Below are 24,288 nucleotides of genomic sequence, written 5' to 3' on the forward strand. Positions count from 1 at the left end.
TTTAATCTTGGGCACACATGAATCCTTTATGTCTCCACTCAGGCTGCCTGTAATGTGTTTTGCAAGAATAACGACCTTTGTGGAATGTCTGCTAGGTATCATGCACTTTACACACACATCAATGCCTGCTCTGCAATGTATATTTTACTTGTCCTGTTTCTCCCTAATGAAATCAGAGATACTTAGTCAGATGCTCAGGGTCAAACACAGCAAAATTATTGCTCATATAATGTGTTTCAAACCCACATATGATTATTTTTGAGTCCAACAGGACAAAGTCCAAGTTCATCAGCATGGCGTACAAAATATTTTGTGATCTCACCGTTCCATGCCCCTCCACACTTATAACCTCCTCCTGCTACACTCTGCTGCACCACTGCTGAGAAATGCTGACCTCTTCCCCAACACCATGCTGTCCCCCTCATCATTGTTTTGTGCCTATGTTATCCTTTCTGTGCAGAAACATGCCTCATTTTGCCTGAGTAACTGCCATATGTCCTTTAAGATTTAAGACACTGAAGATACAATTATGTGATTAAGAATGTAGCCATGTAGCTCTCTGTCACTTTCTAGCTATCTGCCCTTGGGCAAGTTATTTAATTTCCCCATGCCTCAGCTTCCCTATTTGTAAAATAGCCATAAAAGTACATCACAGTATTGTTGAAAGAACTAGATGAATTAAGTTACGCATGTATCCAGCACAGGGTAAAACATTACATGCTAGTGTTTGCCCCTTAGATTTGCCTCAGAAATCACCTCCTCCAGGAAGCTTTCCTTGATTCCTACTCTCCTTTCTACCAAACAAGATTGAGTGTCCTCTTTTATAATCATCTACAATATTAATTTCTTTTAGTATTACCTGTTTAGATGTTTGTCTTTGCTAGTATACATGTTTCCCCCCAAAAAACTCATAAAATAGAGACAGACATCTAAACACATAACGCTAAAACACATGTGTTTTTGAACACCTAACAGCTAGCACATTGGCTGCTACATAGTAGAACTCAAAAATAATTGCCAAATGAATGAATGAATGAATGAACGAAATACTTACTTTATTATTGTTGTTATTATTGTATTGTTGTTCTAACTAACCTTTACCAGTTACTTATTGTGTGCTAGGCACTGTTTTATGCACTTGGTATGCATTCTATAATTTAACCTTCACACAAATCCCGTAAGGTAGGTTTGATTAACCCCATTTGATGGATGAAGAAACAGAGATACAGAGAGATTAAATAACATGTCCAGGGTCAATCACTAGTATCTATGTGAATATGAATTTAAACCAAGTAGTTTGATCCAAGAGTTCACATTCTTAGCTATTTTCTGTTGCAGCCACCAAATGGATTTAAAGGGAAAATAAGAAAAAAGGAAAGGAAGGAACAGGAATAAATGAGAGAAAGTGGGGGAAAAGAGAATACCTGGAGTACCACAGTCTTGATTGGCATCACCTGAAGCCTTATGGGATTGCCTTTACTGGCTTCTGGGTTTATGTTAAATCTTTGACTTTTCACAAAAGTCACTGCAAAAAATAGCCCTGTGGAATTTCCTTCTTCATTTGCTGTGAAAAATTACTAGTGATCGTCACCCATCATATTATTTGATTCTTCTTATATTATCCCCCGCCACACACACACACACAAACACACACATACAGAGTCATACACAGAGTTTGTTCCTTGTAAAACTGTTGTGTCCCTGAAGGCACTGGCCTACTTCCTTCTATCTGATCACCACAGTTGCCCACTTAATGGAACCGCTTTGCATTGGCTGCTGTGAAACACAGAGCCAAGCTTCATGCTTGGTCACAGAAATTGTATTGCCCTCTGATTGGAATGTTAGTTTTTCTCTTTTGACTATCTTTCCATCCTAAACTTTAATTCCTATATAATTAATTGTATAATATTAGTATTTCTGTCTTCTGCCAGCAAAGTATAATTTTTTTTAAAGAGGTGGGTGTCAATATATACATTGAGTTGACCATCTGTATGAGATAACCTCCACCCTTAATGATTAATGTCATTCTAGAAGGGTATATTCAAGCAACTCATGGTAACCATTTTAAATAATAATAATTTAATGATAATAATCTTTTGTAAATAAGGTTCAGAGGGGTTAGGACTTTGCCCCAAATCACAAAACTAATTAATGGCAAAGTCCAGCGACAAACAGAATTTTCACCTCTGTGTTGGTGCCCTGTTTTGCATATAATGGCCATCAATATTGATCTTTCGAGGTAATATCAAAATAGATGGCAATGCCTCGTAAAACACATTAAAACATTAATTGTTGGAGATGAAGTGTTAGGTTTGACAGAGCAATATTATGACTTATTATTGAGAAATTTAGGCTCTTGTACCATCTAAATATATTCTTTATGTCATTTATCTCCTGTTTTCAGCTTTAAAAAATAAATTTATATTTCCTTCATCACAAATGTTATGAATACCAATTATAGAAAATGTAGAAATCCAATAAATTAGAAAGAAGAGAGAAAAAATTACCCAAAGCCTACCACTCAGAGTAAGTCACTTAACATTTATATGTATTTTAAGTCTTTTTGTTTGTATAATTATTTTTTAAAACTTTTCATAATTGTAATAATACTATTTTATACTCTCATTTGTTACTGAAGGTACCATAGGTATTTCTCCATGTTATTATCGGCACTCAGCAATAGAATTTTAAATAGCTGTAAACTAATTAGAAAAGTAATTCCTGATAATTCCTTTAACCTTTCCGCTATTACTGGGCTTTGAGTTTATCCTTGATATTATTCACAATGTTTCAATAAATGTCATGATGTGTGTAGCCTGTTTGTATTCAAATTACTGTGTTAGGTCATATTAGCAAAGATCTAATTGTTTGCCGAAAGCTTAGGTGATGGAGTGTGCTGGACAAAGCACAGGCTCTGGTGCTAGAGAGACCTGGATTGGAATCTTGTTGCCGCGTCCCACTAGCTCTATGGCTTGGAGGAAATAGCCTCACAGATCCTTTGGGTCTTCTTTTATGAAATGGGTCCATTCAGATCTGTCTCATAGGGTTGTAGTACATTAAATTAGATATTGTATGTGAGCTCAGCAGTAATGTTTTAAGGCTTTGATGCCTTTTGTCAAATTATTTTCGTGATGGTTGATCCAAGTTACTTTCTCATATTCAAGCAATGTATGAAAAGTTCCCATTTCATCTCAACCTTCCCAGCATTTTTTGCAAACTTGATAGGTAGTAGGAGTGTGTGGTGATTTTTCAAGTACCCCTATGTACTTTGCTTCTCAGGGAGAATGAGCACATTCACATGTACTGGTTACCAGGGGTTCTACATCTTTTGTGATTTGTTGATCTTCTTTTCTTATGTGTTGATTGGGGTCAGTTATTGATTTATGAGGATTTTTTTCTTCCTCAGAAAAGAAATTTTATGTATAAAATGATTATTCCTGATTTCTCTTATCCGTTACTGTCGGGTTTAAAATGTCTATTCCTTAACATTCTCCATAGTCTTTTCTTTATGTCTTCTCTTAAAGCCTTGTGATTACAGGATAACTGAAGGAACTGGTTCTCTTATATACAAACTATTCTTGTTTACAGGTGGGATCTAATGAAATCTTACCTGCATGAGTAGAATCTTATTGCTTTACTAAGAGTAATTTGCTGTATGCAAGTAATTCTTTTTAATACTTTATTTCTGTATGTATGTATAGCTCTTTTGTTTCTATTTACTTCAGCTTAGCAAACATTTATTGAGTGAATACTATTTCCCAGACATCATGTGAGACTACAAAGCATGTGCACCCCGAATGCTTTGTGGGTATAAACCAATGTGATCTGTGAACTTGGGTATGAAAATATTTATCAATTTTCATTAACCTCTTACCAACTGATCAGTAATTCTCTCAATTGCAAATGTAAAGCCACAAATTCCAGCAGTACTAGCCATATTGGTATCAGCAATAGAAATCACAGATATTCTATTTTCAAATGATAGCTATTGCTGATATCTAGAAATGTTGTCTTGTATTATTTCAAAATTATGTAAGTTATTAGTATAACTATTGGCACTTATTTTGTAATGTATTACTAAAAAAGAAATACATTACTATGTCATAAATTTGTTTTTTAAGTTTTCTGATGGTTTTATATGTAAATACGCAAATGTTTTTATAATTGTTTTCATGTATAATTCTATGAATGTTATTTATGTATTTAAAAGCCTTTTTCTAGGAATACGCTATTCTGTACAGGTTACATCAGCTTGACAAAGGCACGGCAAAGAAATGTTTAAAAACCTCGTCGAATGAATAAAAAATTCATAAAAATAAGGCTCTCACAGTACTTCAATTCTGTGGATTTTCCACGTGTCCTCTGTATCTAATACAGATATTCTACTGGGGAATGGTGATCCTTTGGTATTCTTTACTCCTTCTTATATGACTTAAAATAATGCATGTGTACCAAACTCTTACCATGTGCACTAGATACTTCATGTTAACTCCATTATCTCATTTAATTCCTCAGAATGTCTTACCAGTTGAATACTATCATTTCCCTCATTTACCAGGTAATGAAACTGAGGCTTGGAGAAATTAAATAACTTTCCTATTCATAGTGCCCTTTAGTGGAGGAAACTGAGCTGGTTCCAAGGCCCATGATTGCAATTGTGGCCTCATTAAACAGGAGTCACTTGGCATAATTAATTTTAATAAAAAGCTACCGAATAACATAACCCATATCCTATTACCTTAAGAGTTCCAAGAACTAAGAGGAGAATGGCATGCTTCCTTTCTCCAGCATATAGAGGAGTTTCTGTGCTGTTCATTTTTTATTTTCCCTCCAGTTACGTTATTTGTCCTTCTCAACCTGCAGTCTGCCTCAGAAGTCTGATCTTAAAAATTATGTTACTTGGCCAAGTGCAGTGGCTCACGCCTGTAATCCCAGCACTTTGGGAGGCCAAGGCAGGCGGATCACAAAGTCAGGCGATCAAGATCATCCTGGCCAACATGGTGAAACTCCATCTCTACTAAAAATACAAAAATTAGCTGGGCGTGGTGGTGGGTGCCTGTAATCCCAGCTACTCAGGAGGCTGAGGCAGAAGAATCGCTTGAACCCGGGAGGTGGAGGTTGTAGTGAGCCAAGATTGCGCCACTGCACTCCAGCCTGGGTGACAGAGTTGAGACTCCGTCTCAAAAAGAAAAATTCATATTACATGGGCTCCACTTTTTCTCTCACTTTTACTTAGGTTCTGTGAATGGAAGTTACCTGCAAGAGTTGAAGAAAGGAAAGGGAGGGCTACCATTGTTTCTTTCTCTCCTGTATCCTGCTGGGCCATGGTTTTGGCACTGACTGTTTCTTTTTCTATGGGCACAACTCCTGGGTGGTGGTTCCTTTTCTTTTGCTACAACTTTTTCTGAGTACTGGTAACATCATTCTCATCCTTGCCCCTTTAGGCCTATGTTAATAATATTCTCCCACTGTTGCTAATCCCTGGGTACCTCACTATCTTTTGCTGGGAGGCTTAATTTTTTTTTTCTCTGTGTTAATGATGCTTTCTTTGAGGTTTCTTCATTTAACACACTAAGTAGGCCATCTGATTCTTATCAGTACCCCAACTGACACAGTCTAACTTTCACAGATGGAATGGCCAACCCTTGCCCTTACTTCAAGAAAATCAAAAGTGGTTTCTGTTCACTAAATGTTTACATTCTTCTGCCTTAATATTTTCATATTTGATCAAAGTACATTTTGATGGATGAGAAGTTGAGCAAAAGAGAGGAATAAGTGGGAAGAATACTAAGTCAAAAGACTTAGGTCTTGCTTTTCAACTGTCACATCTTACTGAAGTAAACTCAGGCAAATTCTAGAGTCTTGGTGAAACTTGATTTCTTCACCATGGCAATGGTGATAAGGATGCCTGTGAGGAAGTTGTGAGGAATGAATGAGATGATCCAGCAAAAAGACTATTCTATAAAGATACATATAAAGTGACATATTCTAAACCTTAAACATTGCTCGCACTCTATGTTTACTCAGAAATAGGTAATCAATATGGAAGTACTGCAATAATTAGACATTCTATAAAGGTTATTTAATTATTTATATTGTATATTCCAGAAATTTAGAAGCTGTTTATAGTGTTCTAACAAAATATTTGAAACCAAGGGACTTATTTAAAAAAACAGAAATGTATTTCTCACAGCTCTTGAGGCTGAGAAGTCCAAGATTATGGGGCCAATAGGCTCGACTGTCTGGCAAGATCTGCTCCCTCCTTCCAAGATGGCACCCATTGCTGCACCCTCAAAGGAGAAGAATGCTGTGTCCTTGCATGGCAGAAGGTAGTACAGCAATTTGGTACAGCAAGCTAGCCAAATGCTGCATGAAGCCTTCTTCGTAAGGACCTTAGTACCATTCATGAGAGAGGAGCCTTCATGGCCTAATTACCCCTTAAAGGCCCCAGCTCTTAATATCATCACATTACCCATTAATTTCAACACCTGAATATTGGAGGAGATACACTGAAACCATCACAAATGGCAAATAGGAAATGATCTGATGTGACTCTAACAGAAGTTGGCTGTGAGAGAGAGGGGTGCTAGAAATAGTGCAAGCTCAGGTGAAGATTGGGACATAGATACAAAATAGGCTTCTAGGCTAAGATGGAAATTTTGTTTAATAAAGTAAATGTAAGCCAGAAGCAGGAGGAATAATCAAGATTAGATTCAAAGGTTCTAACTTGGATGACTGCATAGATAGCGGCACTCAACTGATCATAAGGAGAAACTTTGTGGGTGGACGTAACTCACGTTCAGATGTGTAATGGAAAGAACCAGTGGGGCATGTAAACAGAGATGTCTGACAAACTTTTTGAAATCTGGGTGTAGGATTCAAAAGACAGGTCAGGGCTGCAGAAATGGATATGAGATTTTATGAATGCCACAAACAATGAGTCATTTTTAAGAGCGAAACTTTTGAATAGTGTGGGTTTATTACGTTAAACATTAAAACTTTAAAAAATCATTTGGAGGAAGATCTTTCTAAAATTTTATTGCACATTTTTCTGCCATCTTAAATGATGCATCTGGAACCAAATTTATTTTTTTCTTGTTGTCTCAGGGTCATCATTATAATCATCTGTTATGATAGCATGCTATAATTCAAAGATGTTCTTGGAATAATTGAGATGCACAGAGCTGTTTCCCTTTATTAAACAACTTCAGATCATTGCTGTGTTTTTTGTTCTTGAGTTTCATTTTTATCATTTCCATGCTTTCCATTTGCTCTCGGCTGTCACTTCCTGTGGCTATTAATGCGTCACCCTGAACTGATATACTGTGTCCTTTCAATAACTTGCTCCTCAGCTAACACTAGTTGGAAAACCAGATAATCCAACACATGGTAGCTATGTGCAAACAGTTTCAGAAGAAGGCACAGAGCATCTCCCCTAACAGGCAACTTACACTTTGGCAATACCTCTTCGGACTCTTCAAAGAACTTTGGTGTTTATATTTTAGTTTTCAGCTGTGTTTCACAAAGTTGCATGTCTAAAATTTGGGTTCTGGATTAGTAAAATGTTATTATTATATGCATACCCCCAAAGGACAAAATAAACCAGTGGTTTAGGAAAGTGCAGCTTAATGTGTATTTTTAATTTCTTAGAGATAGAATCTGCTGTGATTTTCATCAATATATAAGATTAAATTTTCAGACTATTTTTTTTTCAGTACATTTGCTATAAGAATAAAGAAGACAGTCTATCTGACTAGCAGGTCTTTAGTGTGAAAATTGTGCAAGGTCAGTATTCTAACAATTTTTTCAAGATGACTAGATTGAACCTGGTCGACTGAACACACCAGTGTTTACGCAGGGCGAGCCTTCGTTGTTTTCCGTCCATGTGCCCTTGCATTGTTTTCCAGGCAGGTTTCCTGATGCATTGTCTTGTGTTGGCCTATGCTAATATGCTGAAACGTGTAGCAGTTTCTTTCTCTAGTTGAAGTCGTCCTTCACCATTTGTCACCGTTTGTCACCGCAAATGCTGCTTTGAAGCTCTTTTTCTCTCCCACATGCACATTAGTTAGCAGTTTCTTGGTAGCATCTACTGGGTTATTTGTCTCTGAAGAGTATCATTTTTGATACTCTTTTGATATTCATTTAATGATTTGTCACTTCAGCTCAAGCCATAATTTCCTGTCAATTATATTGTAAATTTCTCATGCATCCATCAGCATGTCTCCTGGTATTCCTCTTGTTATGTCTTGTCTTCAGAAATTTTCTTTCTTCTATGACCTTTGGCTTTCTGAGGGTTTCATCTTTCCCTTCCTCTACCTTAGGACCAGGAAAGTATTTTCTGTTTTTACTTAAGCAGCTTTTTAAAAGATAGCAAGAAACATACATATGAGACAGCTCGCTCCACTCTCATTTTCTTGTAACTTTTGATATCTAGACAGACATGCACAGGCCAAGGGGGAATGCCATGCTCTGATTGGAGTTATGCGTTCACAAGCCAAGGAGCTACCAGAAGCTAGGAGAGAGACCTGGAACAGACCTTTCCCTAGAGCCTTCAGAGGCGGCATGGCCTCACTGACACCTTGATCTCAGGCTTCTACCCTCCAGAAACATGTGACAATAAATTTCTATTGCATGAGCCACTCACTTCATGATATTTTGTAATGGTAGCCTTGGAAAACTAAACCAGTTCCCACAATTTGTCTCTTTTTTAAACAAAGGCAGACTTGTCCAAAGAAAAGTCCTTTGTAGAATCTGCTTTGCACACCTCAAGAAGGAGACTCTGGGGTTTTGGTATTGAAAAACCCAGGAGAAACTTTCTGCCCAGGCTTAAAAAACAACTTTTCAAGACAGTGTTCCTCAAACCTAGCTTTGCCAGAAACACTTGGATAAACCTTTTTTAAAAATGCAGATGTCTAAGTTTAACTTTCTGGAGATTCAGATTCAACCTGTTTGGGAAAGAACTTAGTTATCTATTTTGAATAATTTGTTTACATAATTATTATGATTGGTTCAGTGTAGGAAGCACTTGCCTAAGAGTTTGAGTAATGAAGGAGAGATTTTGAGAATTGGGGCATGCCATTCTTGGGGAAAAAAAAAAGATAATCTAATAAAACTTTGACTTCCTTGCCTCCATTTTCATTGATTTTAAGATGGAATGAACTAACCAGAAAATCTCTGACCTGAATTTTATTCTTGTAAAGCAAAAAAGATGGGGACCTTGAAAGAAAGTGAATGTAATAAACTTCTAGGAACTTTAACAGGCAATGAATAAAATGTTGGATAAAGTTGGGTATTACAGGAAATCAGATTCCATTCACTATTCATTCAACAGAGTTACAGAGGACCTACAATGAGCCAGTTAATATGGACATGAGCAAAGAAGAGATATGCTCCTATGACCAGAGTTTCTAAAAGAAGAGATGACTAAGGAAGAAATGACAGCAAGCTTGAAAATGTAATCTGGAAATATGACCTCAGGTGCTACAGAAACCACTGTGGCTGCAAAAGGAGCCCTCTCATGAATCCAGATTGTCAAAATTATGTGCAAAATATTGAAGGAGAGACACATAGAAAAAGACTACAAAAGAATAACATGAAGCTAAGAAAAACAGAGCCAGAAAATCTAAACCCTTTGCAGTAACAGAGCAGGCATTATAGTTTTTATTCACAGATGGGTAAACTGAAACTAAGAAAGATTAAGGAACTTGATTGTATCTCATACCTAGTTAAATGGTACTGAGGCCTGCTCTTTCATTCCTTCCACTACCCTGCTGCCCAAAGCTAACGTTTCTGTTCTCTGTGGTGCAAACCTAAAGGAGTCACATGTTTCCCTGGAGAAAATAAACCAAAAATTCCAACCTTTCTTCATGTTCATATAGACCGCCTATACACAAAGGAAAAGGAAATATTTATTAGTCTTCAAAATATTCTTTTTGCTGAGAGTTGGAATAAGATAATCCCTGAGAAGGAAGGGATATCAATATACTTTTTCCTGACATCAAAAAATTAGGATATGTCACAATGTTTAATTTTTTTCTAGGTCAGTTTTTATAATCTTTCATATGTTTTGAATTACTGTAGTCAGCTGCCTGATTTTAAAAGCTTGTTTGAATCCCAGCACTTGGCGAGGCCAAGGCAGGCGGGTCACCTGAGGTCTGGAGTTCCAGACCATTCTGGCCAACATGGTGAAATCCCGCCTCTACTAAAAATACAAAAAATTAGCTGGGTGTGGTGGCAAGCACCTGTAATCCCAGCTACTAGGGAGGCTGAAGGTTAAGGTTGCATTGAACCTGGGAGGTGAAGGTTGCACTGAGCCAAGATTGTGCCACCGCACTTCAGCCTGGGCAACAGAGACGCCATCTCAAAAAAAAAAAAAAAAAAAAAGGGTTGTTTGAATGAATGAATGTCTCTTAGTCCAAGGCTTTGAGAGTGTAGAGATTAATCTCTTTTCATGACCAACTTGTGGCATCCCCTTATGTCCAGATATGGTTATAATTTAGGCTTTTATTAAGCTAATTGTTTTAATTTTGATGAAAATCAGTAAAACCTCCCACTGAATACAACTCTAGCTCTATGACTGTAAGTGAAGCCAGACTAGGGCTCTGAAACACACCTAGAGATAGACTTTTAAATCGTTAGTTGACTCTTAAGCTATATTGGACAAAATCAAAGGGCTCTGTAATTACCTAATCAATCCTCCCAATAAGTCTTTGAGGTAGGTGGTTAATACCATTGAACTCATTTTGCCAATAGGAAACTGAGGCACTGGGAAAATGTATACTGCTACCATTTATTTATGTGTTATATGCAATTCTGAAAAAGAAATCCTGTTTTCTTTCCCACTTTCGATCTCTAGTCTTAGAATAGGTTATTTTTCAGTAAATGATGAGAATAAGAATAAGAGAAAAAGTACTAAACAGAAGTGAATACAGAACCAGCTGGAGTAAGCTTGAACACAGAAATAGATTTTCTTTTAGAAAATCCTTCCATCATCACAGATATTTATAAACCTTGCCTAAAACATCAGACTTGACTGACATACTACATTGTTGAATCATGATCTATTTTAAAAGGGAGAGAGGGTACTATCAGGGTGTCCACACAAAGGTAAGCAGGTATTCTGTTCTGTTTGAAAAGAACAATGAGGATCATGATCTGTAACTTGCAGAGCGTTCTCCGCACCTCTGCAAGAACTAACTGGCCAAAAGGACATCAGAAATAGATCATGGAATTTCCAGGCAAAAGGCAAAGGAAGGATGTGTACAAAGTGAACTTTCTTAAGAGATGAGAGATCTGAATTCCAGTCAAGAGCGTCAAGGGGGTACATGAGTGAGACTGAAGAGCAAGATAGCTGTAAGGAACTAGCAAGGGTCTGCGTCTTTAGAGTTTTACTATATATCCCTGCCTGTATTAGTCAGTTGCAAGCGTGCATGAAAATGCTGTGGCAAGGTCTGATATTCGTTCCCTACCATCTATTTCAACTGGTGTGAAAATTACCCAAATTTCTCTATGCAGGAGCCCACCCTACAGGAAACTTACAGGGCATTTAGTTCAATGCTCCCATTGTACAGATGACAAAACCAGACACAAAGACATGAAGTGATTTGCTAAGGTCACACCACTTATTAATAACAGCCTGCAGACTAGAGCTAAGGGATCTTGAGCTCCAGAGCTTTTATTTCATGAACATTATATTGTCCTTACTTTTTGTTAATTCATTTCTTCATTCAGCAAATATTTATTAAGTGACCACTATGTGCCAGATACTCTGCTAAGTACTGCCTAGTGCCTTCTATTTTTCAAGAAAAAAATAAAGCAGTCTCTGACCTAAGACCTCACAGTTTAGAGAGGGAGGCATATATGTATTAAGATACTGACAGCAAAATGATAAATACCATAAGAGTGGTATGTGCAAAGAGCTATGGGAACAGAGAAGAGGGATGAGTGTGGAGCTTGCAGTGGCACAGAATTCGCTTTCTTCATAGGCTTATTTTACGAAATCAATTATTTACCTAAGAATTCCAATTTAAATCTTTGATCTGAAATAAGATCATTTAAAAATTATATGCTTTGATTTTTTTTTTCTTATAAATGTGAGTCAAAAGCCATCATAGGTTTGGAAATGTATTTTTTCTTGGAGGTTTAAGTTTTGAATAGGCTTCTGATACGGGTTGAATTGTGTTGCCCCAAAAAGATAGGTTCAAGTCCTCACCCCCAGTACTTGAAAATATGATCTTATTTGGAAATAAGGACTTTATACAGATATTCAAGTTAAAAAGAGATTATTAGGGTGAGTCTTAGTCTAATATGACTGGTGTTTTTATAAAAAAGGGAAATTTGGACACAGAGGCAGATGCACACAGAGGGAAGACCATGTGAGGACACATGGGGAGAAGATGGCCAGGGGACTGCTATGATGCATCTGCGGGTCAAGAAACACCAAGAATGACTCCTTAGAATTTTGGATTTCTTTGACTTCAGAACTCCAGCCTCCAGAATTGTGATAGAGCATATTTTAAGGCACTAAATTCCTGCTACTTTTTTAAGGCTGCCCTAGGAAACCAGTACAGCTTCCTTGGAGAGTGATCAAAGAGCAGAACTAATTTCTATTCCTAATACCTTGCTGCAAGACTTGGAGAAAAACACTGGCATCTGTGCAGCCATTTTTTTTATGAACCTTGTGGAATCTTGACTTTACAACCAGCACAGTCAGACACTTGCAGAGGATTCTACGAAGGCTGAATGGAGATTTGAGGACATTCATCTATCCCCACCTCCTCCACATAACCATTTGTGTTCCTTCAGTCCTTCAGTAAGTTTTCAGTGCTGGCTTCTTAACATTGTCACACAACTATCTCATGACACAAAAACTATGAACAGCAGACCAAGGCTAATAACACCTCCTCCATCTCTTTGGGATTAGAATATCAGGGTTTTTGCATTGAAATGATTGGGCTTGCAACTTTCCATTGACAAACTCTAATTCGGTGATTGTTGTTAAAGAGTAAGCTTATGTTTTAAAAATGATTTTGATGACCATAGCTGCAATAAGGGGTACAGTGCTTTTTAAAACCATGAAACCATGACTGTAGGTGGCACTTGAAAAATACACTCTTTCAACATAAAAAAAGTTTATAAAAGTTATTAGGCAGCATCTTTGAGAGTTGTGTAACTTTACCTAGAAGACTGTCATAATTATTTGAAGACCTAGGTATTCATAACTTGGATTAGAAACACCAGCCCTTCTGCAATTGACTAGTTGTGCATCTGACGCACTTCACTTACCCTCTCTGGGCTGCTGTTTCACAGAGCAGGAAACCCAAACAATGATATTTCTTTCTTTAAAGGGTGATGAGGAAACAGAAATTTGTGTCAGGGATGCTTTTGAAATTCAACAAGTTGGAAATAAAAACACTTTTTATGCTTTCCAAAGCATCTTCAGGAGTCTTGTTTTCAATTGATAAAGAGGAAATACATTCTTCCTGTACTTGAGACTTTTATGAAGACCTGTTGTATATCCAGTCACTGATGTAACAAACTCATGGTGGAAAACGTTGGTTGCCAATGAAGCTAGAAGCTGCAAGAATGGCCTGAGATCTAGAACCTCTGTCCTGAGATTCAGCCAAATATTGGGCACAGCAAGTTATAGAGCCAGGAAGTTCAACCCCACATTGCTAAAAGACCAGGTAGTGTCACAGGGTAGAATCAGAGTGTCAGTGTTAATGTACTAGTTCATGAACAGGAATACAAAAGCAAATCTGATAATACAAGCAGAGAGATTGCTATTGAAGGTCTTCTTGTATATGTTACACAATCACAGGAGATGGTTTTATTAGAAGGTTCTTGAAGGGTAATTGCTTACCTGTCTGATCAAAAGAGAGCATCAAAATCTTGATTTCCATCTTGAGGTAGATTTCATCCTGTCCAGTTATATCTCTACTTTTATTACAGATAATAATATTTAGATAGGTATGTTAACTTGAAGCATTGTACAGAAAAAGCTTTGATGAGGGTGACTGAACTAATCTCTATGTTGAGAACTGTATACTGTTTATCCCACATACCCAGAACAAATCACATAAGGGGTTATCAACTGTTCTGATATCAAACTCTGCTTTCTCTTCACTAGCAAATTGGTGACAATGTTTAACTAGTATAAGCAACAATATTATCTCCCTTTTGTTCTGGTCTGTTCTACAGTCCTTTGTGGGCATTTCAAGCCACTCTTGCTTTCTGCTTTCTGCTATGGGGCACCGCTTCTTATTTCAGTTCTTTTAGAATTAGTCCCTGAAGATCCTAGGCTTGAAGGGTTGACTCCTGGGTCTGTTGGATGCTGCAGCTCTTTGCCTCTTTAACCAGAGTGCACTGAGGTCATGTTCTCTGGGAACAGCTGGAATCTTTCAATAGAAACACAATTTTCTCTGAGCTTAGAGACATTAAAATAGGGCAATGCAAAATCGTTTTCTATAGTAGAATTATTTACCTCTGGATGCTGGCCAGTTGACAGTACCACACCATTCTCTATGCAGCACTACTGAATTCTCTCCCTATACTCAGATACATGAGTGTTATAGCTCAATTATGTGTTACATTATAGCTCCAGTACACAATTCCCTTCCTAATGAATCCCCTCTCTTTTCTTTTTTCCTCACCTTTCTCTCTTTCTATTATTTCCTTTAACCCTCACTAAGCAGTTAGTATACTCTCAACACTGTACTAAGTACTGTACACACAAAGATAAAATAACCATATCTTTTAGATCCCATCCTAGGCTCACAATTTAGTGAAGGAGATAGTTAGGTAGACAGAAAAACTAAGTAAGAGTGTGGTAAGTGCAAAATGAGCAGTCTGTAAAAACTACCATGAAGACAATTAATACTGTGTGGGCAATCAAGACCTTTCACAGAGAAGGTGTTATATATGAACTGAATCTTTATGGGAGAGACAGAAGATGTTAGGTAGACTAAGAACAAAATTATAAGGGTATATGAGTATGTGATAGGCTAGCCATTGGTCTTTCAGGTCCGAGAGCTACCATTAATCATGGTTATCGCACATGATAGTATATTGTGTGTAGTAGTCATACCTATGCCCTGTCAAAAGCCACCTGAATACCTTCTTTGAGTTTTCTTACCTTCAGGGTACTCATCCCCAATTTTTACATCACTTTCTCATATAATGATTTGATTCCCTCCCTCATTCCTCAAATCCCACGAGTGCACATATGTTCTCATCCTGGCCTCTGTGGAAATGTTCAAGTTTGCCACCAGCCTTTGTCTTCGAATGTGTGGGAAGCCAAGAGAAGACTATTTCCATTCACTAGAACTTCTTCTAAAGTCTTCTGATAGATGTTGACGGATCCTATGCCATCAGCAGGTCAGTGTAATCCATTGTACCAGAGTAGATGGATAGATGATGGGCTCTTCCTAGATAAAACTGTGGAAAGCAGAGAGGATTTACCCTGTAAAACTGCTGCATTTTGCTTGCTGCTACAAAAGTCTCTCTAGCTCTCCCTCTCTAAAATGTTTTCAGGTACTTAAGTTTATAATGCAGAAAGTGCTACCACCACTAAGGGTCTCTGTAGTTCGTCATAATTGTGGTTCTTAAATCAGTTTTTAAAGTTCTTTTTATTCAAAATAGAATATAGCATCTCCTCCCACCTGAAGGGCACAATTAAATATCTCCTTTTTGGTCTTGGAAGAAATTCAAGCAAGCATCATTTGGCAACATGCCTTAGGTCATTATAAACTTTACTACAGCAACTAATTCAACGTAACTCAACAAATATTTGAAGGTCTATTTTGTGGGTAAGCATTGTGCTAGGCTATGAGGAAAGGGAGGAATGTAAAAATGAATAAGCCATAGTCCCTGACTGCAAGGAGCTAACAACCCAATGGTGAAAATAGATATTCACACAGCAAACTATATTACAGACACATAAGGAGATTCCTATGGGAAACAAGAAGGCAGAAACATCACTTTTATTTAGTAGATATGTATAGGCATCAACAAGATTACACCACTTGAACTGAGCATATTACCAGAAGACCAATACTTACATTGAAACCCCAAGAGCCTGTGGCTATACCTACCTGAAAAAAGGATTTGAGCCCCAACTTCACCAGCTTATTGTGTATCCTTATACAAATTGTTCAACCTCTTCATGTCTTAGTTTTGCACTTAGTTTTGCTTTATTTTGTCTCTATGCCTTTAATGTGAAATAATAACATTAATCTCACAGGTTGTTGAAATAATTAAGTAAGATATAGGAAAAAATGCTTTGTCAACTCTAGAGGACTCTACAATTTTTAGTTGTTATGATTTTTTTTTTTTTTTGGTTAATCTCCATGGATGAAATAAGAAACATAATCTTATAGGATACTATAAACAACATATTTAGTTAAAAGGTATAATTCATTAGAACTACAGTTCTGATCTGGGTCAATGCCTTCCCCATGACCCATCCAATAGTAGAACAATGGTTAAGCCTGGGTAGTCCAGTTCCTGGTTGTTTTAGTACTGTGATATGAATGCAATATTCTGTATTCCTAGGATTTTCATTTTTTCTGAGGCTAGCTGTACTGTTCAGAAGGCAATAGTGTGGAAGGACAAATTATATCTTGGTACTAGATATGTTTATTTTATGTAGCATCTTCCAGAGCTTAACAAAGTGCTCCACAGTGACTGTGAACTGAAACGCCATGTTCCTAATTGCTAATTGAGACACCCAGGCTGGTCTCTGTCTACTTCTCATTCCACTGGATAACTCAGAGTGCTTTTTATTCTCTCCATGATAACCATCAAAAATAAAGACCTTTGATTTTGTTGAATATTTGTGACTCTGAATTGCACACGTTATTGAAGCTTGCTTCCCTTTCAAAGCAAGGCTATGGTTTTGCTGTGGAATCTCAATTATCTCCTCTTGCTATAGAACAGATATGTCAGGTAACATTTCATTTCTCCTCACCACCTCTCAGACAAATGAAGAACCGGCATAGCAGGAAGGAATATCAAACTCATTAATGGGATTTGAGGGTCACCAATTGAAATACTGCTTAAATCAGCTGGAGGATGAAGAGGGCGAATTATAAGATGCAAGAAGACATGCTGACAAGAGTCCTATCTTCATGAAAATGGATGATTCTGTAGGTTTCTGAACACATGGACATTCATCTTATATTTTCCTGAGGCTATTGGCAAGTGACTCTGGCTGAAAAGTTTAAAACAAAGGTGAATAATCATTCTGGTTCAGTAAAACCTCTGCATCAACTTTTCCTGATCTCTTCGAAAGAATCACTTTGTGAAAATACAAACTATCACAGTTTTCTTGCATCTTGGACCATTGAAGATTTGGCATAAGGCAGAAGGGCCTCTGACCTCAGCAAATTGTTTCTACCTGTGGACACTTGGCCTGTGTTTCATTTCTATTGCTCTAGGCTTTAAGAATGCAAGTGTGTTAGTCCACTCCCATGCTGCTAATAAAGACAGACCCAAGACTGAGTAATTTATAAAGGAAAGAGGTTTAATTGACTCACTGTTCTGCACGGCTGGGGAGGCCTCAGGAAACTTAAAATCATGTCCTTCTTCACATGGTGGCAGGAAGGAGAAGTGCTAAGCAAAAGGTGGGAAAGACCCTTATAAAACCATCAGCCCTTGTGAGAACTCACTAACTATCACAAGAACAGCAGCATGGGGGTAACAGCCCCATGACCTCCCACTGGGTCCCTCCCATGACACATGGGGATTATGGGAACTACAATTCAAAATGAGACTTTCGTGGGGACACTGAGCCAGACTATATCGTTCTGCCTCTGGCGCCTCTCAAATCTCATGTCCTCATATTTCAGAACACAACCTTGCCCTTCCAACGGTCCCCTAAAGTCTTAACTCATTCCAGCATTAACTCAAAAGTCCAAGTCCAAAGTCTCATCTGAGACAAGGCGAGCCCCTTCTGTGCATGAGCCTGTAAAATCAAAAGCAAGTTAGTTATTTCCTAGATCAATGGGGGTGCAAGTATTGTGTAAATACATCTGTTCTTAATGGGAGAAATTGGCCAAAATGAAGGGGCTACAGGCCCCATGCAAGTCCAAAATCCAGTAGGACAGTCATTAAACCTTAAAGTTCCAAAATGATCTCCTTTGACTCCATGTCTCACATCCAGGTCACACTGATACAAGAGGGGGGCTCCCTTGGCCTTGGGCAGCTCTGCCCCTGTGGCTTTGCAGGGTACAGCTCCCCTCCTGGATGCTTTCACAGCCTGATGTTGAGTGTCTGCAGCTTTTCCAAGTGCACAATGCAAGCTATTGGTGGATTTACCATTCTGTAGTTTGAAGAACAGTGGCCCTCTTCTCACAGCTCCACTAGGCAGTGCCCCAGTGGGACTCTGTGTGAGGGCTCTGACCGTACAGTTCCCTTCTGCACTGCCATAGCAGAGGTTCTCCATGAGAGCTCTCTCCCTGCAGCAAACTTTTGCCTGGATACCCAGGCATTTCCATACGTCCTCTAAAATGCAGGCAGAGATTCCCAAACCTCAGTTCTTGACTTTTGTGTACCTGCAGGCTCAACACCATGTGGAAGCTGCTAAGGCTTGGGGCTTGCACCTTCTGAAGCCATGGCCCGAGCTGTACCTTGGCCCCTTTTAGCCATGGCTGGAGCGGCTGGGATGCAAGGCACCAAGTCCCTAGGCTGCACACAGCAACAAGGCCCTGGGCATGGCCCAGGAAACCATTTTTTCCTCCTAGGCCTCCAGGCCTGTGATGGAAAGGGCTGCCACAAACAGCTCTGACATGCCAGGAGACATTTTCCCCATTGTTCTGGGGAAACTTGTTACTTAGGTAAATTTCTGCAGCAGGCTTGAATTTCTCCCCAGAAAATGGGTTTTTCTTTACTATTACATCATCAGGCTGCAAATTTTCCAAACTTTTATGCTGTGTTTCCTCTAGAATGCTTTGCCACTTAGAAATATTTTCTGCCAGATACTCTAAATTCTCTCTCTCAAGTTCAAAGTTCCACAGATCTCTAGGGCAGGGGCAAAATGCTGCCAGTCTCTTTGCTCAAGCATAACAAAAGTCAGCTTTGCTCCCATTCTCAAAAAGTTCCTCATCTCCATCTGAGACCATCTCTGTCTGGACTTTATTGTCCATATCACTATCAGAATTTTGATCAAAGCCAATCAACAAGTCTCTAGGAAGTTCCAAACTTTTCCACATCTTCCTGTCTTCTGAGCCCTCCAAGTATCTAGGAAGGTCCAAACTTTCTCACATTTTCCTATCATCTTCTGAACCCTCCAAGCTATTCCAACCTCTGCCTGTTACCCAGTTCCAAAGTTGCTTTCACATTTTTGAGTATCTTTATAGCAGCACCCCACTACCTGGTACCAATTTACTGTATTAGTCTGTTCTCCCACTGCTAATAAAGACACACCCAAGACTGGGTAATTTATAATGAAAAGAGGTTTAGTTGACTCACAGTTCCACATGGCTGGTGATACAGTTTGGCTGTGTCCCCATCCAAATCTCATCTTGAATTCCCACATGTTGTGAAAGGGACCTGGGGGGAGGTAATTGAATCATGGGGGCAAGTCTTTCCTGTGCTGTTCTCATGATAGTGAAAAGTCTCACGAGATCTGACAGTTTTAAAAATGGGAGTTTTTCTACACGAGCTCTCTATTTTTGCCTGCCACCATCCACGTAAGATGCAACTTGCTCCTCCTTGCCTTCCTCCATGATTGTAAGGCTTCCCCAGCCATGTGGAACAGTGAGTTCTCCATTAAAACTCCTTCCTTTGTAAATTGCCCAGTCTCAGGTATGTGTTTATCAGCAGAGTGAAAATGGACTAATACAACTGGGGAAGCCTCAGGAAACTTACAATCATGGCAGAAAGGGAAGCAGACACATCCTTCACATGGTGGCAGGAAAAGGAAGTACCAAGAAAAAGAGTGAAAAGCCCCTTATAAAGCCATCAGATCTTGTGAGAACTCACTTGCTATCAGCAGCGTGGGGTTTAACTGTCCCCTTGATTCAATTACCTTCCACTGAGTCTCTCCCATGATAGGTGGGATTATGGGAACTACAATTCAAGATGATATTTGGGTGGGGACACAGCCTAACCATATCAGCAAATCAGTATTGTGAGAAGTTCCATCTTTCTGTATTCACCCTCAAGCATACCAGTCAACTGTAGCTTTTTCTCCACCCCAGAAGTGGATAGATAATTCCAGTGCAAAGAGATAATTTGGTGCCCTCCTGTGTCTCAACGTGAGATTCTCTCTCTTGACCTCACAACCTCTTCTATGCCTATGGGAAAGGGTGTAATGCAATATATCCTTGGAGGGCTTCTTGGTTGCTTGCATGTTACCCACATTTTTAGGGCAGGAATCCACCATGCCCTCAATATTGTGTAATTCTCAGAGGAGCAAGAGTAAAAAGACAAAGACAGACCTGTTCATATTTTCTTTGTAGAAAGAGCTAAACATAACAAAAACAAGTATAAAATTTCAGTCCCAGTACCATCCCTTACAACTCTTTGTTCTTAGAAAAGCCATTTATCCTCTTTGGACCTGCAGAGATTTTTTATGGAACAAGAGCCTGGGGCTAGATGATCTCTAAGGGTCTCCTCAGATTCTATCACCCAATGATTCTGAAATACCAGGGAAGGAAAAAAAGTTTCCAGATGACTTTTACACTTCAACACTTGGTAAAATGGCTTTTTAGCATTTTGGCAACTCAATTTGCTTTAAGAATTTAGAAAGAAGTTGCAGTAAAATGCCCACTTAAATCATGCATGGTATGTAAGTAAGTATGTGTGTAACCTAAATAAAATTTCTCATTGCACCTGCACTTTAGCAAGATGGGATGGCAGCTTGAGAAGTCATCAAGAGAAATCATTCTAATTTCCTTGTTTGACAAGGATGAAGAACATATAACTTTCTTTTTGCGGTGCTTACTGCTTGATAAACGGTGACCAGTAGATTACGAACTAATAAATGAATCGGAAAAGAAAAGGAACATCTGTCTTAACTCTTTTCATGCATATGTAGAGAAAGCAACTATTTTTATGACAATAAAGAACAAGAAAACCATCACCTATGACTTAAATTATTCTCTTTTTTATTACCCTGACCCCTAACTCAACAGTACAGCCATAGTGAATCTTACCATTAGAGACTCATTCATCCCACTGGGTAGCAGTTGAGTATCCCCAGGGTTCTTCTTTATGTAAGCAGTTGTCTGGGGAAAATAACACTTTGTGGCTGGTAGCAGAGGCTAAGTAAAGGATTGCTGAATAAATAAGGGGATATATCAAGTTATTGTTAGTCATGAGCACTTTTGCAAGAATCAATTTGGAGAAGAATAGCAGATAAGTCCCAAGGAGAGAGAAACAAAGTGAGAAGAGACTGGCAGAAGCAAGGGTATAGGGGTGTTATTGCTGGTGGTAATAACCCACTAGAACATGAAACTGAATTTGAGGCAAAGAGTTCTATTTGGAATATTAAAATAAGGACATTAATTAGGCAGGAGAATGTTCTTTGACTTTAGACCTATGCTGCACAATAGAGTAGCCATTAATCACATGTGGCTATTGAGCAATTAAAATATGGCTAGTCCAAATTGAGATGTGGTCTTACAAAACACACTAAAGACTTTTGCAAAAAGACCTAGTGCAAAATAAAAAGATGATTTTAAAGATTAGTGCAAAAAATGCATATAAAACTCTCATCATATTTTTATATTGTAATTTTTTAGACCAGAGAAACGGTAGCTTTGAACATGATGTAGCAATGATGAGAAGTGGTTGGATTCTGAGTATATTTTGAAGTTTCCACCCACAGGGTTTACTGATGGATTGAATGTGGGGTATGAGAGGTAGGAGTCAAGGATGACTCTAAGGGTACATTTGCCGTTAATTGGGATGAGGGAGTGTGCAGGAGGAGATATGAAGAAAGTCAGGCTTAAAGATGTTTAATGATTCACCCAAGGTCACACTGGTAATTCAGAGAGAAATGGAATTAATTGACCTGTTAGGAAACTCAGAGATCTGCTGGTCTTTCTTATTTTACAGATGAAAAATTTGGAGTCTAGTGAAAAGAAGTGACTTGCTCAAAATCACACAGCACATGAAGAACAGAGCCTCTATGATGAATTTCTTGACAGGTAGGCTAGAAATCCTATATTTTGTTTTTTGAGTTTTTTTTTTTTTTTTTTTTTTTTTTTTTGCCACTACACTGTATCTGTGAAAGTTAAAATGAAACCATGTTTAGCTATGTCTCTAGATGCATTAAGGAAAGAAGAATCACTAGTGACACTTTAGGGGTGAGTCTTCACAACTCTCAGGTAAAGCATATTCTAGAACATTGAATGTTCGTACTAATTAGATAACTCTAAGTAGATAGATAACTAGCTAATTAGTACTAACATTTAATGTCAGCACTAGTTAGAACTAATGTTAGTACTAATACTAACTAATTAATACTAATGTTAGTACTAATTAGATAACTACCCTACTTGAATTTGGAATAAACTATTTCCTCTTTAACATTAATTTAATGTCATGATGAGTAATGATAACTATCCCTTAATGAGAAAAAGTTTTTATCAAGAATATAAATTTCATCCTTAGCCCAAAGAAATCTCAAGGCTTACGTCAAAGGAAGGGAGACAGATAAAATATAACAGATTATAGAAAACAAAAGCCATCCTTTCAATATTTTTCTCTAGAATGAGAGTTCAAGCTCAACGTATTTTAAAATGGTTGTGGGTATTCATCTATTTAAATATGAGACCCAAATATGTGATCATCTTGTCATCTGTTTCCTCATCTCCATTGATATTTTCCATAAAAAATTCAAACTAGCGTGGCATGTGGTGTTTTTTTTGTAATGGACATTTTGTAGAAGTCAATTATTGCCAGGATAATGTAGTGTAACAAACCACACCAAAGATTCAGTGGCTTACTCTGTAATGAAGAATTTCACTGGCCTTTGTCCCCAGTTCCTGGGTGGTAGCCTCTAAGTCCTGGGGATTTCCTGAGCCATAGAAGTGGCTTTGTTATTCATGATGGGCCCTGAGAGTTCACTCAGAAGGGAGATTGGTCATGCCAGAAAGACCAACCATATGTTTGGATGGTTGAGTTGTGAGCTATATGATAATATCTTGACTTTTTGGGAGAGGAGGCTGACTGTAGATTGAGTGACATGGGGATGATTCAATCACTCATACTTAGGACACAGAAGCTTAAGTGAACTTCCCTGGTTGACAATATTCTGAGCATTGTCAAACAACGATGTGCCAGAAAGGGAACTCTGGACTCCATGAAGAGAGGACAGTGGGGCTTCCATATTTGGGAGCCTCTCAGACCTTGCTCTGTGTCAATACATTTAGCTAGTGCTGATTTGTATTCTTATGCTATAAGAAAACTACAATTATAAATACAGTTCTTTCTTGAGTTTTATGAGTCATTTTAGCAAATTAATGAATCATAGAGGAAGTGGGAACGCGTGGATTTGTAGCCAGTTGGTCAAAAGTGAGGGTGGCCTGGGGACTCCTAACCTTGTGGCTGGTGTCTGAAGTGAAGGCTGTTTTAAAGAGGACTATGCCCTTCATCTGTGAAGTCTGACCTAACTACAGGTACTTGGTGCCAAAAGTCACTGCACTTACAAATATAAGTATTTTTATTTAAAGCATATTTAATTAAATTATTTAATGTTATTTACATATTTTTAAATTTTTATTTATTTTAAAATTTATTTTATTTTGATATTTTATTTATATGTATTTATTTTATTTAAAGCACATTTATTTACTCACACGTCTGAGGGTCAGCTGGGAAGTTCTGCTTCAGACTGTGAACTGACAGGGCTTGGATCCAGTAGCAGGTCTAATTGATGTGTCTCATTCCGAACTGCAGGCTGGAGGAGCTGTGGCTACCTGGGATATGTTCTCTGCATGGTGATGACAAAAGCAACTACATTAGCACATTAAACGTTTGCTTACATCACATGTAATAACATCCTGTTGACCTAAACAATGTGAACAATTAATTATTGGGCGGGATATTTAGTTGACCCTTGAACAACGCAAGTATTAGGGGCACCAACCCCTGCACAATAAAAAAACAAGCAAACAAACAAACATACAACTTTATCTCCTCCAAAACTTAACTACTGATAGTGTACTGTTGAGAGGAAGCCTTACCAATAACATAAATAGTCAATTAACATGTATTCTATATATTATATGTCTTCTATACTGTATTCCTACAATAAAGTAAGATAGGGAATAGAAAATGTAT

At 38.1% G+C, this 24,288-nt stretch overlaps 1 long non-coding RNA gene across 7 annotated transcripts in view; it reads left to right on the forward strand.

The window, feature by feature from the left end:
• LOC105374524 (uncharacterized) overlaps window positions 1-24,288 on the forward strand; it is a 507,306-nt gene that overhangs the window by 64,106 nt on the left and 418,912 nt on the right. For 5 of the 7 annotated variants that reach the window (XR_007058434.1, XR_007058432.1, XR_007058433.1 and 2 more), the window contains exon 4: window positions 22,060-22,151. This is a non-coding gene — a long non-coding RNA (uncharacterized LOC105374524). Of the gene's footprint in view, window positions 1-2,404; window positions 2,527-9,331; window positions 9,409-22,059; window positions 22,152-24,288 lie in introns of those variants that run through there. The other 2 variants (XR_925471.3, XR_007058437.1) reach the window with 2 other exon arrangements.

The sequence above is a fragment of the Homo sapiens genome, chromosome 4 (assembly GCF_000001405.40).
Source record: "Homo sapiens chromosome 4, GRCh38.p14 Primary Assembly".
NCBI lineage: Eukaryota > Metazoa > Chordata > Mammalia > Primates > Hominidae > Homo > Homo sapiens.